Source organism: Homo sapiens, chromosome 16, assembly GCF_000001405.40.
Source record: "Homo sapiens chromosome 16, GRCh38.p14 Primary Assembly".
Lineage (NCBI taxonomy): Eukaryota > Metazoa > Chordata > Mammalia > Primates > Hominidae > Homo > Homo sapiens.
The window spans coordinates 14,007,392-14,024,664 of NC_000016.10; the positions used below are offsets into that span (position 1 = coordinate 14,007,392).

Sequence of the window (17,273 nt, forward strand, 5' to 3'; positions counted from 1 at the left end):
TGTTGCGGCAGGGATCAGTTCTTCATTATTGACAAAGAATGTTTCATCATATGTATAAAGCACATTTTATTTATTCACTCATCAGTTTACCATTTGGGTGATTTCCACTTTTGGCTATTATGAATAATACGGCTATGAACATTCATGTACAAGTTTTTGTGTGGACATATGTTTTCATTTCTCTTCTATATACCTACGAGGGAAGTTGCTGAGTCATATGGTAACTCTAAGTTTTTGAGAAACTGCCAAACAGTTTTTCAAAGCTCTGTGCTACTTTACATTCCCACCAGCAATGTGTGATGATGGTTCGAATTTCACTACCTCCTTGCCAACAGTTATTACGATCTGTCTTTTTTATTATAGCCACCCTAGTGGGTGTGAAGTGGTATCTCATCATCTCATCATGGTTTTGATTTGCTTTTCCCTGATGGCAAATGATGTTGAGCATCTTTTCAAGTGTTTATCGGCCATTTATTTATCTTCTTTGGAGAAACGTCTATTCAGATCCTTTGCCTGTTTTTAATGGGGTTATTTGTCTTTTTATTATTGAGTGGTAATCATTCTTTATAGATTCTAGGCACAAGTCTCTTATCAGATATACAATTTGTGAAAATTTTCTCTCATTCTGTGGGTTGTCTTCACTTTTTTGACGTCTTTGAAGCACAAAAGTTTTCCATTTTAAAGTCCAATTTAGCTGGGCATGGCGGTACATGTTTGTAGTCCCAGCAACTCAGGAGGCTGAGGTAGGAGGATCACTTGAGCCTAGGATTTCAAGTCCAGCCTGGGCAACATAACAAGACCCCATCTCTTAAAAAAATAAAGTCCAATTTTTCTATTTTTTCTTTTGTTGCTTATGCTTTGGGTATCATATCTTAGAATCCATTGACTAATCCAAGGTCATGAAGATTTCCTCCTATGTTTTCTTCTAAGAGTTTTATAGTTTTAATGCTTGCATTTAGGTCTTTGATCCATTTTGAATTAGTTTTTGTTTATGGTGTGAGTTAAGGGTCTCACTTCATTCTTTTGAATGTAGCTACTCCGTTGTCCTACCACCATATTTAAAACAGAATTGTGTTGGCTGCCTCGTAGAAAATCAATTGATCAGAAATGTGAAGGTTTATTTCTGGACTGTCAAGCCTAGTCAAGTGATCTATATGTCTGTCCTTATGTCAATTTCATAGTATCTGATTACTATAGCTTTGTACTAAGTTTTAGTACTCAGGAAGTATGAACCCTCCAACTTTGTTCTTTTTGAAGGTTAACTGCTCTGATTCTCTTGAATTTCCATATGAATTTTAGGATTGGTTTGTTAACTTCTGCAAAAAAGTTAGCTGGTATTTTGAAAGGATGGCATTGAATCTGTAGATCAATTTGAGAAGTTTTGCTATCTTAATATTAAACTTTTCCATCTATAAACATGGGATGTCTTTCCATTTATTTAGGTCTTCTTTAGTTTCTTTCAACAATGTTATATAGTTTTGCAATGTAAAAAGCCTCATACTTCTTTGGTTAAATGTATTCCTAAGTATTTCATTCTTTTTTAAAATTTTATGTATTTATTTATTTTCATTTAGAGACAGGGTCTCTCTCTCTGACACCCAGGCTGGAGTACAGTGGCCAGATCATAGCTCACTGCAGCCTCAATCTCCTGAGTTCAAGTGATCCTCCCACCTCAACCTCCTGAGTAACTAGGACTGCAGGCATGGCCACTACACCTGGCTAATTTTTTAAAATTTTTGGTAGAGATAGAGTCTTGCCGTGTTGCTCAGGTGGTCTCAAACTCCTGGGCTTGAGTGATCCTCCTTCCTCAGCCTCCCATAGTGCTGGGATTAACTGGCATGAGCCACCATGCCTGGCCTTATTTTTTATCCTTTTTGATGCTCTTGTGAATGAATTTTTCTTAATTTCGTTCTAAATTTTCTTCTTTTCAACATATAGAAGAACTACAGCTGGTTTTTGCATATTGATCTTGTATCCTGCAACCATACTAAACTTGTTTAGTCATTCAAATAGTTTTTGGTAGCTTCTTCATAATCTTCTATGTACAAGGTTATGACAACTGTCAAACAGAGACAGTTTTATTTCTTCCTTTCCAATCTGGATACCTCTTCTTTTCTCTTGCCTACTTGTTCTGCCTAGAATTTTCCAGAACAATGTTGAATAGCAGTGGCAGTAGTAGACATCCTTTTCTTGTTTCTGATTTTAGAGGGAAAGCTTTCAGTCTTTCACGATTAAGTGTGATGTTAGCTCTGGGTTTTTCATAGATGCCCTTTATCTGGTTGAGGAAGTTCCCTCCTATTCCTAGGATACTGAGTGTTTTTATTGTGAAGCATATGTTTTGCTCTTCTCCCCCCAACAACGTGAGTTTTATCCACGTGTCACTGTGGTTTGCAATGTCGACTTTCACTAAAGATGTTGTAGGGCAGATAAAGGAGAAGGTTAAATCACATATCACCCCTCTTCTCTAATTACATCTTCTTTATCTCTCTCAAGCTACCTAGCATTTGCCCCTGCCACGACTCCCCCTTCCACCCCTGCCCCAGGCAAACTCTCTCCTCTTTCATCCACTTGCTCACCAGAGGGCTTTTAGCAAAACAGAAACCCTCTTCCTTTTTCATCCATCTGGAGATAAATAAAGGAGAGTGGGAGTTCCAAAGAAGAATCCCTTCACTCTGCTTGGTGGGGAGAAGGTAGAACAGCAAATCTTCCTGAAGGAGGGTGTGTTTGAGCTTAGATTAGAAGCTGGGTAGGATGCTGCCAGGGAAGGAAGAAATAGCTTGAGCAAAGACATCTCAGGTTGTGCCCTGATGAAAGGGAATTTAGCCCCCAACAAGGTCCAGGCAGTTTAGCCTCAACAGTTCTTACAAGGATCTTCTATTCATATGATAATTACATGGAGTGGATCTCAGTAGACTTGCTATGATATGATTTATTTTCTTTTTTGAGACAGGATCTTGCTCTGTCACCCAGGCTGGGGTGCAATGGCAGGATCATGGCTCACTGCAGCCTCAACTTCAAGCAATCCCCCTGCCTCAGCTTCCCGAGTAGCTGGGGCCACAGGCTCAGGCTACCATAATTTTTTAATTTTTTGTAGAGATGGGGATTTGCCATGTTGCCCAGGCTGGTCTTGAACTCGTGGACTCAAGTGATCCTCCCACTTCAGCTTCCCACAGTGCTGGGATTACAGGTGCGTGCCACCATGCCTGGCTATTTTTATACAGATGAGGTCTCCCTATGTTGCCTAGGCTGGTCTCGAACTCCTGGGCTCAGGCAATCCTCCTGCCTCAGCCTCCCAAAATGCTGGGATTATAGGCATGAGCCACCATGCCTGGCCTTCATTTCTGACCTCTAGAGTTGCCTTGTCCAATATGGTAGGCATTAGCCACATGTGGCCATTCAAGTGTAAATTAAGTAAAATTAAATAGCATTAAACATTTACTTCCTATTTGCACTAGATACATCTCAATAGCCACATGTAGTTAGTGGTTACCGTATTGGATAGCACAGCTATAGAACATTTCTGTTACCACAGAAAGATCTATTGGACAGTGTATTCTAGTATTGGAGGGAAGAAAGCTGTAATGAAGATGACTGAGGGGTCTGAGCCAGACAGGTGGGCCCCAGGCATAAGGTGAAGATGGCCTGGCCTGGGCGTTAGTAGGCTGGGTGCCAGTTCTGGCTCTGCCACCCCTGTTCCTGTCACTTTTGGACAAATCTCTTCCCTTTTCTGGTTTTCCCATTGTTGAGAAAATGAAATTGTTGGGCGATGTCATCCCAGGAGCCCAGGCAATGATTGACAGATTCTGTGGTTGTTTAGCCAGAAAGGGATGTATTCAGCTGTTTCTTCCAGATGTAGAGAAAAGAGCCTTGGACTCAGGAAGAAAGCAGCTGGTTCTGGTGCTACCCAGCTGAGCCATCATGGGCAAGTCACTTCACCTCTCTGAACCCCATTTCCACATCTGTGAAAGTGGGTGAGAGGGTTTTGGGAGGATGAATTGAGAGGAGTTAAAGGAAAGCACTCTGAGAAAAGAAGAGGGATAACATGATGTGGCCAGGTCAGCTCAAGTGGGAAAGTTAGCATAAACAAAGCTAAATGGGTTTATTTGCTACAGGATTTCTCAGAACCCTTAATATGCTAATGTGCACTGTGAATCCCTAAGTATTTCCTAAATTAATAAGAGCACAGAATTCCTTTTAAAATAAAATTATTATTGCCAGGTGTGGTGGCTCACGCCTGTAATCCCAGCACTTTGGGAGGCTGAGGCGGGCAGATCACTTGAGGTCAGCCTGGCCAACATGGTGAAACCCCGTCTCTACTAAAAATACAAAAATTAGCTGGGCGTGGTGGTGGGCGCCTGTAATCCCAACTACTGGGGAGGCTGAAGCAGAAGAATCACTTGAACCCAGAAGGTGGAGGTTGCAGTGAGCCAAGATCATGCCACTGGACTCCAGCCTAAGCAACAGAGTGAGACTCCGTCTCACAAATAATAATAATAATTCTTGCAAGGAATGCTCACAGGCATTCGTTATTGTTACAGGGAACCCACTTGGGAATTGCCCTTGGACAGGGATAGAGCACTTTCCTTGGCCACAGCTTGGACTAATGGCTGTCACCCAGCATTGCCCCTGAAAAATGTCTGGTCTTAGGAAGAATTGGAAAGATCTGGGTTAGATGACATCATGGAGATGGCTTAGAGTGCAGGCAGCCTCCAGAGGAAAGTGGGAGGGAAAAGTGAAAATCTGGAGAAGGTGAGGGTGGCAGCGAGAACGTACTGTTTACTCAACGCAGGTGCAAACTACAGGGCAGGCAACGACCTTGACATTTTCTTTTTCTTTTTTTTCTTTTTTTTTTTTTGAGACAGAGTCTCGGGCAGGCAACAACCTTGACATTTTCTTTTTCTTTCTTTCTTTTTTTTTTTTTTTTTGAGACAGAGTCTCGCTCTGTCACCCAGGCTGGAGTGCAGTGGTGGAATCTCAGCTCACTGCAACCTCTGCCTCCCGGGTTCAAGCGATTCTCCTGCCTCAGCCTCCCAAGTAGCTGGGACTACAGGCACCTGCCACCACGCCTGGCTAATTTTTTGTATTTTTAGTAGAGATGGGGTTTCTCCGTGTTAGCCAGGATGGTCTCGATCTCCTGACCTCGAGATCTGCCCACCTTGGCCTCCCAAAGTGCTGGGATAACAGGCGTGAGCCACCGCGCCCGGCTGACCTTGACATTTTCATAGGCATCATTTCCCATCCTCAGGACAACTCTGAGAAGCAGATGGTGTCATACCCATTTCCCAGATGAGAAAATGGAAGCTCAGGGGGTTAAGCAATGTATGAACGTTTAACATGCAGTAAATGGTAGAACTGGGATTTGAACTCAGGGCTGCCTGAGTCCAAAGCCCATACTCTAACCCCTCTGCCTCAGGGTGCCTAAAATGTCATGGCCCTGGAGCTTTCAGCCTGTAGGGGATGAGAAGGCAAACCGCCTGTGGTTTGTAAATCTAATATTATCATCTGACTTTTTCCTGATATCTTAGTGAGGTCTTTTCAATGGAATAAGCTTAATACGTTATCCTCCCCCAGTCTTCCCAGTTTCCCATCAAATAAAGATGATTCAAGAGGCCCCAAATGCAGAGCTAAAATCAGCCTTTCATCCTTGCCACCTCCCACCTCTCACTCCTCTGGGAATTGCTAGGATTTAGGAGGCCAGTATTGAACTTGAGATTTCAAGAACTGTTTTTGAGTGGCTTACAGCTATGTCCTGAGCGCTCTGAGTGAAGGCAGAGGTGCTGGTTAGCAAGGTGGGAGGCAGAGATACCGAGCTCCCAGGCAGGGATGAGGGGCACAGCATGGAGCAGTGACTTCTGAGAGTGTTGTGTGTCTTCATGGATTGTGCAATCTCTATCCGGAAATTGATCAATTGCAATCAAAAGCAGTGGCACCAATTTATAATCTTTTAGAATCTAACTTCTTAAGGGTATTGAATCTTTACCTCTAAGGCAATCAGGTCCAGATGGCAAAGGGAAACCCTCTTGTCACCAGCTCTTGGGCATTTAAAAACAGCATGGCAGGTTGCGGCCTTGCAAGGAAAGAAGAGGGGAAAACATTGTAAATACTGTGTACCCTGACTGTGTTGGCTGCACTTGAAAACAGGCATCTTCATTTGCAGTTAATTAGATTAACTCAGCTGCGATTACGAATGGAATTCCTTGCTCCAGCAACAGCGAACGTTTGTTGAACATGTGTTGTAATCTTGCCTTTAAATACAACCACATGTATGACATATTTTGTTTTCTCTTGGCCATTGGACTGGAAAACTATTAATACAACATCTGCTTTGCTTTCTGATTGAATCAGGGGCAAAGAGCAGGTCTCTGTAGTGTCCTTCAGATTATGCCTGGGATATCAAGTTACAGCTGCTAACCACTTTCCCACTGCTTAAGAATCCAACCCTGAACGTGACTTTTCTATTGGAAACGCAGGTCTCACTCACTGGAGGACCAAATTACCTCCTGATCTTGCCTCCAGCATGTGAAGTCCACCCTCGCACCTCCCACGCCTGAACAACTCACTATTGTAACCCCTTGTTAGTTTTTTAAACGGTACTCAACCCCATTTCAAATCATTTTATTTTTCGCTTAGTCGTTTGTCTGTCTCCACCATGAAAATATTCCCTCCAGAAGGGCAGGACCCATGTCTATTCCCCATGCCCTCCCCTCCTCTCCCCTAGGGCCAAGAACACTTAGCAGGCAACTGAATAAATATTTGTTAAATAAATCACGGTGTTTCCCAATTGCGTGGAGAATGAAGTAAGAGTGAAGACTGGTGAGAAAGTGACAGTCTTCTTGCAATCATTTCAGTCCTGATAATATCAAGAGTCTCAGTGCCGGGCAAGGTGGCTCATGCCTGTAATCCCAGCACTTTGGGGAGGCTGGGATGGGAGGATCACTTGAGGCCAGGAGTTTGAAACCAACCCAGGCAACATAGTGAGACCTTGTCTCTACAAATTAAAAAAAAATAGTAATAGTTAGCTGGGCATGGTGGCACACGCCTACAGTCCCAGCTATTTGGCAGGCTGAGGCAGGAGAATTGCTTGAACCTGGGAGGCAGAGGCTACAGTGAGCAGTGATTGCGCCACTGCGCTCCAACATGGGCAACATGGTGAGACTCTTGTCTCAAAAAGAAAAAAAAAAGCCAGGCGCAGTGGCTCACGCCTGTAATCTCAGCACTTTGGGAGGCCAAGACAGGTGGATCACCTGAGGTCAGGAGTTCGAGACCAGCCTGGCCAACATGGTGAAACCCCGTCTCTACTAAAAATGCAAAAAAGAAAAAAAGAAAATTAGCCGGGCATGGTGGTGGGTGCCTGTAATCCCAGCTACTCAGGAGGCTGAGGCAGGGAGAATTGCTTGAACCCAGAAGGCGGAGGTTGTAGTGAGCTGAGATCGTGCCACTGCACTCCAGCCTGGCGACAGGGCAAGACTCCATCTCAAAAAAATAAAAAATAAAAAACTCTCAGTTCGGTGTCTAACATCTCTTTTCCTTGCTATTCTCATCCCCCAACACCTCCACACTCCCCACACCCTGCCTCTTTTTTTGTTTAAATAGAAAGTACATCTTGGGGCTCAGAGTGAAGGACAGTTATCGAGGCTAGCTAGGATTTCATACTATTGTTTGGTTTTCTGAGTGTTTAATCCCTTTCAAATAACATTTGCGGCTCTACATGTCTGGTAGTAATATAAAGTTTCCCTGGGAAAGAAATGTAAGTGTAAGTGTATTGCTTTAAAGGGAAACAGCCACAATGCAAGTGAAATGAAACAAAAGGCTTGGAGGTGTCTCTGCATGGCTGAAGTTTGGAAACGAATGCACACAGGCATGCACATTCATCCGTGGGACTATCCGCTTAGAGTTCTGTTTGACCAGTGCCTTGTGCAAGGCAATTCAGCAAAGAGAACTTTATTTTCCTCTCTTCCCCAAATAATTCAGGCCTGTGCTGTTAAGTCCTACCTCCTCATCTCTTCCCCTTCCTCCTCTCCCTGCATCCACCTTTAGGAGTTATCATTACTCAGAAAGAGACCAAGAAATATAGGGGACCTGGGACTCCATGAGACCGGATGTGGAAAGCCCCTCAACACACCGGCAGGAAATACCTGCAGCCGTATTCCTAGCCGAATCCTGAAATTGCAGACAAATTTTGCGCTTTTCTGGAAGGAAGTCTCGCTATCATTCATCAAGTTCTGAAAGGGCCCCGAGAAGAGTTCGAAACTACTGGGCTGGAGGTGGCACCAGGAATGGATCGTTGCCCTGGAGTTCTGACCCTTGGTTTTCTGCCGCACACAGCTGATCGGTTAATAATGCAGCAACTTAATAATTAAAATGAGACTGTGTGATCCTTAAAGATGCAGGCTCACTCCCTCCTGTCTTCACTTGAAGAAGGCTGTTGCCACCAAAATCAGTGGGCTTTCCCAGAAGGTTCTGTACTTACCTGTGCTTACAGGTAAACACAGAGAACAGTCTGCTTTTCTCTCCGGGTCTCCTCCACACTTGGAGCTTATGCATCCAGAGACTAGGCTGGCTGGTTCATCTTTTGCCTTCACAATCCTTCATGTTTAATTGCGTCTACTTCTGCCTCTACCCTATCTAACTTCTCCAAAATATTTCTTGTCAGTACCCCAGGATCAAGATGGGTGGACCCACTGCTCTGTTTGTAAGCTGGGAGGCAGGAAGTTTGGCTTGGCTGTGTGACTGTAAACAAGTTACTTCACTTCTCTGACTCATAGGAATGCTGTTAAATTTAGATCAAATGAAGGAACAGATGTGGGAGCTCTGTAGAAAGTTAGAAGAGTCATCTCGGATGTGAAAGCTCTATTTAGAGAGCAGCAATCAAGTCACCATCTGACCAATAACACCTAGAAGACCCTGGAATAAGGCTCCTCCCAGTCAGAAAAAAAAAAATGACATGGAACTTGCAACTTTTGCAGTGGTTTTAAATATGATTTTTTTTAGGTGGGTCCCACTCAATTCTCCAAGGCATAGTAGATAACCCTCCATCAGTAACTATCGATGATGGATATTTGTGGTCCTTTCATACCTCCCTTAAAGGACTCTGACCTAGGCTGGGCGCGGTGGCTCACGCCTGTAATCCCAGTACTTTGGGAGCCTGAAGTGGGTGGATCACCTGAGGTCGGGAGTTCGAGACCAGCCTGAGCAACATGGAGAAACGCTGTCTCTACTAAAAATACAAAAATTAGCCAGGAGTGGCGGCGCATGCCTGTAATCCCAGGTACTCGGGAGGCTGAGGCAGGAGAATGGCTTGAACCCAGGAGGCGGAGGTTGCGGCGAGCCGAGATCACACCACTGCACTCCATCGTGGGTAACAAGAGGGAAACTCTGCCTCAAAAAAAAAAAAAAAAAAAAAAAAAAGACCCTGACCTATTCCCAGGCCGTATGGTGGTTGGGATGGTATTGATTGGCTCCAGATGTGAACATGTGATTCAGAATTGGCCAATTAGATCATCACATTCCCTTCATCATAAGCAATTGGTTTAACTCTGAGTATGTCATTTAGTTTAGGCCAATGAGATGCAACAAGACTTTTACAAGCATTTCTGAGATGTAATCATATTCCTTTCAAATAGAACCTAGCTTGATATTGGGCCAAAGCTGCTGCAGTCTTCTTCTTTTTTTTTTTTTTTTTTGAGACGGAGTCTCGCTCTGTTGCCCAGGCTGGAGTGCAGTGGAGCAATCTCGGCTCACTACAAGCTCCACCTCCCGGGTTCACACCATTCTCCTGCGTCAGCCTCCCAAGTAGCTGGGACTACAGGCGCCCGCCACCACACCCGGCTAATTTTTTGTATTTTTAATAGAGACGGGGTTTCACCATGTTAGCCAGGATGGTCTCGATCTCCTGACCTTGTGATCCGCCCCCCTCGGCCTCCCAAAATGCTGGGATTACAGGCGTGAGCCACCGCGCCCGGCCTGCTGCAGTCTTCTTAACAGCAGAAAGAGAGAATTGGAGAATGGCCTGCAGCAAAAACTGGAACAAGAGATGAATGGAAACAGAGTTGTGATTTTATTACTTGAGCTCTGGAATCCAGTTGTGCCTGAATTATTGAGCTTTTTCATTATATGAAATGTAAATTGTGTTTGTTCGTGTGAAACCTCTATGGTATGAGTTTTGTGTCCCTTGCAACGAAAAGAGAACTGACTGACTACAGTATATATATATATATATATATATATATATATATATATATATATATATGTATATATGTGTGTGTGTGTGTGTATTTGTGTGTGTGTGTGTGTGTGTATATATATATATATATATATATATTTTTTTTTTTTTTTTTTTTTTTGAGACAGGGTCTCTCTCTTTCTCCCGGGCTAGAGTGCACTGTGTGATCACAGCTCACTGCAACCTCCTCAAACTCCTGGGTTCAAGTGATCCTCCTGCCTCAGCCTCTAAGTAGCTGGGACAATAGGCATGTGCTACCATGTCTGGCTAATTTTTTAAAAACTTTTCTATAGAAATGGGTTCTTGCTATGTTGCCCAGATTGGTCTTGAACTCAAGGCCCCAAGCAATCCTCCTGCCTCGACCTCCCAAAGTGCTGGGGTTACAGGCATGAGTCACTGTACTTGGCCTCCCTTTGAGAACTTTATGAAAGCTTCCTTTCCAAGAAAAACACACTCTTGTATCCACATAAAAACATATATGGAATTTCAGGATTCCATGTGCCTCCTGAAATCCACCCTCAGTCTCTAGGATAATAACCCCTCTTCCTGAGTGTGGAATCCAGAGGGCTTTTCTGGAAGAATCCAAGCTCTGGAACTGCACTGCTTGTTGTAAATCCTGGCTCCACCGCTTATAGCTACATGAACTTGGGCCTCTCTGAGCTTCAGTTTCCCCAATTAGAAAAAAGGGAATAATATCTAACTTTACAGGGTTGCAGTGAAGCCTACATGAGTTCATTTAGGCAAGGCACTTAGAACAGTACTTGGCATATATTAAATACACACGTGTTCATCACCAACCTCTTTATGATTTTAGTTTTATTGTTTATTTTCACTGAGCTCATTAATTCTAGATCCAACATGGTTCTGTATCTGGCTCACAGATATATCTTCTGGACTACGTATTATTCTTAAAGTAAATAAATAAATGCATGTGTAGAAATTAGGAGTTCACATGAAAATCAGGCTGTATGGCTTCTCTTGGGACATCAGGTCTGATAAAACCAGGCCCATTTGCACCTGGCATCATGAGCTGGAGCTGGAAAATTCTCCGGTTCACCACAGCCCCCACCAGTCCCCAGCACTAACACACAGAATCCATAGTCCAGGATCATTGCGCTTTCAAAGTCATCATATCCCTTAAGGCCAATAAATCATTCTTGTACCCATGAAAATGAAAGCTAGACCAAAGAAGCCACATATTTTTTTTTTTAAGAAAGCAGACATTTATTTAAGTAAAAACTCTGCCCATCAGTTTAACATTGCAAATGCCTTCATTTACTTGCTTTATTACCTGGCCCCTGTGGGCATTTGAGTTTTTGATCCTGGCTCTGCACAGTTACTGATCATTGGCTATTCCTTCCTTCTCTTCCTCTCTTAGCCTGTTGACTCAAAGGCATGAAGAGCCCCAAGTGGCGGGGTGGCAGTCTTAACTTCCAGCTCAGTGAAATCATTGTTTTGTCTTCTGGTGGCAGCATTCTTCCCTCTGGAACTAAGACCTCTAGGCCAGCAAAGCATAAAGTCTCAAGAACAGGAAAAAAACATTTTGCTAGTGGGTCGCTAGGGGTGATGGTGACTGGTGCCACTCCCATTTCCACCCCGTTGATTCCTGGATCTGTGAATCCCGGCTAGGGGAGAAATAGCACCATATATTGGATACTAATTCAGAGCATATTCAGCCTTCTGGAGAAACTTGCCCCAGCCCTCCAAGGTATTACTACTTAGCTGGTGCTGTAATTGAGTCTTCAAAGGGCTGTTACAATATTCTATGAAGCCAGCTGCTTCAGCATCATGACGAACATGGTAAGACCAGTGAATTCCATGAGCATGGGCCCATTCCTGCACTTCTTTTGCTCTGAAGCCAAGTCAGGTTGACACATAAAATTAACCATCACAATCTCTATCAAGTTTTTTTTCATATACGAAATTTTTGCAATAATTTTCTACAGATTAACTTCTGGCTCTGTACATCCTCAAACCTTGTTTCTCCTCCATGACCCACATACTTGGGAATATTCAAGCTGCAGTGCAAGCTTCACGTCCTATTTCCAGGTGAGTTGGCCCAGTGAGTAGTAAGCATATTTCTGGAAACCATTTCTACATTAAGCCAGCTAGCAATTACTTAACTCTATAAGGAAGTGACTGCGAACAGCGTTAATCGATCCCGCTGAACCCAAACCACATGTTTGGGTTCAAATTCCCTCAGCTATTATAGATCCAAAAAAGGCTTACAGAAATTCCAATGCTGCCCAACACAGAGGGAGTAAGATGGGACAAATAGAAGGGAAGTGAGGTGGAAGGAAACATCAGTCTTAATTGATTGCGGTTGAACTATCCTATTCTTGCAAATGTTACAGAAACATTGATCACGTGAGACGCTTATTAGGGCGCTATCAGGGCCTTGACAGTACCTAAGCATGTGATAAACCCTTCAGCTTAAGCTTTATGAGCTTTAAAGTATATTCACCCTGTCTATGCAATCCTCATTCTGGCCAAACTGGATTGACACCCACTGACTGGGTACCCCCTCCACTGTCCCATGACCTTGCCTTTGCTTGTGTTAGCTTCCCCTCCCCTGGAACAAATCCCATCTGGGTCAAACACTCTGCCTCCCATGCAAGCATCCTTGACCTTTTCAATGAATCCTCTTCCATCCTGCTCTACACCCTAATAGAATTTCATCCTTTATTTATTTATTTTTTATTGCATTTGTCAAACATTACCTTGTCGTGTAGTCTTTCATTTGCTTAGCAAATATTTGCTAACTGTCCATGGTGTTTCACCCATTGTTGTGGCTCTAGAGATGCTTCAGTAAACAAGCCAGGTCCCAGTATTCTTGAAGCTTATAGCCAAATTTGGGGCAGGAATTATAAATACCTGAAAATTCAAAGACCATCGCAGAGAGTAACAGGGTCATGGAGAAGGGCATCACTTTAGCCAGGTGGTCACGGAAGGCCTTTCTGATAAGCTGACCCTGCATGAAAGAAGGAGCCACCCCCAAGAAAAGCTGAGAGAAAGGCATTCTTGGCACAAGGAACATCAGATGTAAAGGCAGTAAGGCTCTTGGCTGCCAGATGACGGCAGCTCCAGATGAAATTATAATGGAGACCATTCTCCTTCCTGTTGCCAATGAGCCCTTAACCCTTGTATGCTACTCAAGGCCTTGCCTCTTCTGTCTCCTATCTGGAGCTTCCCTTTCAGGGCAGGATCCTCCTCTGTTTGGAACTTCTGGACTCTGCACCAAAATATGGCTCTTCTGTATTTCAGGGTGGGAAACTCCTCTGGTTGCATGGTAATTACTGATAGGCTGCTAATGCCTTACCTCATCTCAGACAGTGTCTGAACTTAACAACAAGACTTTTTGTAGGAAGACACCTTAATTTCAAGGTGTGCCTCTGACAGCAGGAATATCAACCCATGTGGTATGTCAGTGGAGGAGATATTTTTAGACCAAGCCCTGCTATTCACTTGTAGTGCAGTGGCACTAACACCAGCTTAAGATGACACCCGTTTGTTATGTCACAGTTCTGGAGGTCAGAAGCCCATGGATAGCATGTGGCTCAGCTGTGTCCTCTGTTAGAGTCTCACAAGGATAAGATCAATCTGTTGGCAGGACCAGCTCTGGGGGTGAATTAAGTTGTTGGCTGAATTCAGTTCTTCGTGGTTGTAGGACTGAGGTGACTCTTTTCTGCTGGGGGCTGGTCTTTGATCGTAGAGGCAGCCTGCATTCTTTCTTATGCTTCCCATGTGGCTCGCTCCTACAGCAGCAGGACAAATCCCTCTCATGCTTTGAATCTCTATGACTTCTTATTTTAAAAAATATATTTCCATAAGTTTTTGGGGAACAGGTGGTGTTTGGTTACATGAGTAAGTTCTTTAGTGGTGATTTGTGAGATTTTGGTGTGCCCATCAACCAAGCAGTATACACTGCACCCAATTTGTAGTGTTTTATCCCTCATCCCCTTCCCACCCTTTCCCTCTGAGTCCCCAAAGTCCATTGTATCATTCTCATGCTTTTGCATCCTCATAGCTTAGCTCCCACTTATAAGTGAGAACATACAATGTTTGGTTTTCCATTCCTGAGTTACTTTACCTGGAATAATAGTCTCCAATCCCATCCAGGTTGCTGCAAATGCCGTTAATTCATTCCTTTTTATAGCTGAGTAGTATTCCATCGTATATACCACAGTTTCTTTATCCACTCATTGATTGATGGGTATTTGGGCTGGTTCCATATTTTTGCAGTTGCGAATCGTGCTGCTATAGACATGTGTGTGCAAGTATCTTTTTCGTATAATGACTTATTTCCCGCCGGGTAGATACCCAGTAGTGGGACTGCTGGATCAAATGGTAGATTCCTTAAAGAACTAAAAGTAGAACTCTCTGACTTCTTCTGCCACATACCTCTGACTCCAGCCAGAGAAAGTTCTCTGCCTTTAAGGGCTCCTAGGATTATGTTGGGCCCACCAAAAAAAATCCAGGATAATCTCCCTATTTTAAAGGCTATACTTTTAATCACACCTGCAAAATCTCTTTTGCCATGTAACATCACTTACAGGTTCCAGAGGCTAGTAGAGTCTACATGTGTTTGGAGAGCCAGTCTGCCTACCACACTAGAGAAGGAGGTGGAATAACAGGATTTTTACCCTGGCTCCAACACTTACTGTAATTGTGAGCAAATCCCTGAGTTCTAATTCCTATCTCTGCAGAGGAGATAGGAGCCAGGACTTAACAACTCTATCATAATCCCATTTGAGAGTTTCAGCTTAAATAAAATTGTATATGCAAAAAGCATTTCTTTTTTTTTGAGACAGTCTTGCTCTGTCACCAGGCTAGAGTACAGTGGCGCGATCTCCACTCACTGCAACTTCCGCCTCCTGGGTTCAAGTGATTCTCCTGCCTCAGCCTCCTGAGCAGCTGGGACTACAGGCGTATGCCACCACACCCAGCTAATTTTTGTATTTTTAGTAAAGACAGGGTTTCACCATGTTGGCCAGGATGATCAAGATGGTCTCAATCTCTTGACCTTGTGATCCACCCAAAGTGCTGGGATTACAGGCATGAGCCACCATGCCCGGCCATAAAAAACATTTCGTCAGTTCAGCACATACATAGAAGTCATTGCTAATACTGTTCTTTTTTTTTTTTTTTTTTTTTGAGACAAGGTCTCACTCTGTTGCCCAGACTGAAGTGCAGTGGCCTCAGCCTCCCGAGTGGCTGGGATTACAGGCGCCTGCAACCACGCCTGGCTACTTTTTGTATTTTTAGTAGAAGTGAGGTTTCGCCATGTTGACCAGGCTGGTCTCAAACTCCCGACCTCAAGTGACCACCGGCCTCGGCCTCCCAAAGTGCTGAGATTATAGGCGTGAGCCACTGTGCCCAGCCTAATGCTGTTCTTATACCACATGGTGCTATCTCTATTTTTTAATTTTATATTTTTATTTGCTCTTATGTTGTGTGGTTTCCCCTCTGCCACCCTCAGTAATTCTCTAGTGAAAGGGAGCAGCTATTAACCCGCAGAGCTGGTTTACAAATATGGGCTCCAGGACTGGGGACAGTGGCTCACACCTATAACCCCAGCACTTTAGGAGGCCAAGGCAGGAGGTTGCTTGAGCCCAGGAGTTCAAGACCAATCCTGGCAATAAGGCAAGACCCTATCTCTACAAAAAATAAAAATAAAAATAATTAGCCAGGAGTAGTAGTGTGTGCCTGTAGTCCCAGCTATTCAGGAGGCTGAGGTGGGAGAATCATTTGAGCCCAGGAGGTCGAGGCTGCAGTGAGCCATGATTGTGCCACTGCACTCCAGGCTGGGTGACAAAATAAGATCCTGGCTCTGGAGCCTGATGGCCTGTGCTTAAATCCTAGTTTCTCTATTTATTATGTGACCCTGGGCAAGTTTTTAAGCTCTGTGCTTCAGTTTCATCATCCGTAAAATGAAAAGAGTAACAATATCGGCCCCCAAGGGCAGATACACACACACACACACACACACACACACACATACATATACATATACATATACATATACATATACATATACATATTTATGTGTGTGTGTGTGTGTGTCTATATATATATATATACATATTTTATATGTGTGTTGCAAGGAGTGAATAAGTTTACATATGCAAAGCACTTAGAACTGTGCCTGGCACAAGGGCTGGGCGTGGTTGCTCACGCCTGTAATCCCAACACTTTGGGAGGCTGAGGCTGGCAGATAACCTGAGGTCAGGAGTTTAAGACCAGCCTGGCCAACAGGGTGAAACCCTGTCTCTACTAAAAATGCAAAACTTAGCCAGGCATGATGGTGCACACCTGTAATCCCAGCTACTTGGGAGGCTGAGGCAGGAGAGTCACTTGAACCTGGGAGGCAGAGGTTGCAGTGAGCCAAGATCACACCACTGCACTCCAGCCTGGGCATCAGGGTGAGACTCCATCTCAAAAAAAAAAAAGAATGGTGCCTGGTGCATCGTGGCAGCTGCTGTTATCACCATCATCTACCTTATTATCAGCAATCACATTGCCGCCTCCTATTGGTGTTGTTCACAGCCCTTCTTACCATTTGCAATCATAAATTTTGTCTGTGCATTTGCTCAGCATCTATTTTCCCATTAGATCTGAGCTTCATCAGAGCTATTTTGTTGAAGGGAGTTGCTTATGATTAACTTTTCATTACATAAGTCATCAAGCATGCATTTTATAAGCACATTGAAATGTTGAGGATAAAGCTAATGTCTCCTTTGGACACTGTATTTCCTACTGGTCCCTTCTCTCCTTCCCCAGATAGAGGTAGCCAAAGTCTAACAATATCAAGTGTTGCTGTGGCTGTAGAGAAATAGAAATGGCCAGACAATGTAAATTGATATGGCCACTGCAGAGGGCAGCCTGGCAGTAGCTATTAAAATTAAAAACACGCATTTCTCATGACTCAGCAGTTTCACTTCTCAGAAAATGCCTTAGAATTGCATTGGCAATTAGACCCAAGACATCACGAAGAAGGATGGCCATTGCTGCATTCTTCATAATACCAAAAATGGGACAACCTAAACATTCA

The 17,273-nt window shown here is 43.8% G+C and overlaps 1 protein-coding gene and 2 long non-coding RNA genes across 3 annotated transcripts in view; 1 reads left to right on the forward strand and 2 right to left on the reverse strand.

Annotated features, from left to right (window-relative positions):
- MRTFB (myocardin related transcription factor B) overlaps positions 1–17,273 on the forward strand; it is a 272,006-nt gene that overhangs the window by 12,618 nt on the left and 242,115 nt on the right. The gene's annotated exons all lie outside the window — the stretch shown is intronic.
- Positions 1,885–8,627, reverse strand: LINC02185 (long intergenic non-protein coding RNA 2185). The gene is made up of 3 exons (NR_110909.1): positions 8,471–8,627; positions 5,981–6,067; positions 1,885–2,406 (listed from the first exon to the last, which is right to left on the reverse strand). It is a non-coding gene; the product is annotated as a long intergenic non-protein coding RNA 2185 (long non-coding RNA).
- LINC02186 (long intergenic non-protein coding RNA 2186) lies at positions 11,489–13,686 on the reverse strand. The gene is made up of 3 exons (NR_110915.1): positions 13,542–13,686; positions 12,943–13,096; positions 11,489–12,074 (listed from the first exon to the last, which is right to left on the reverse strand). It is a non-coding gene; the product is annotated as a long intergenic non-protein coding RNA 2186 (long non-coding RNA).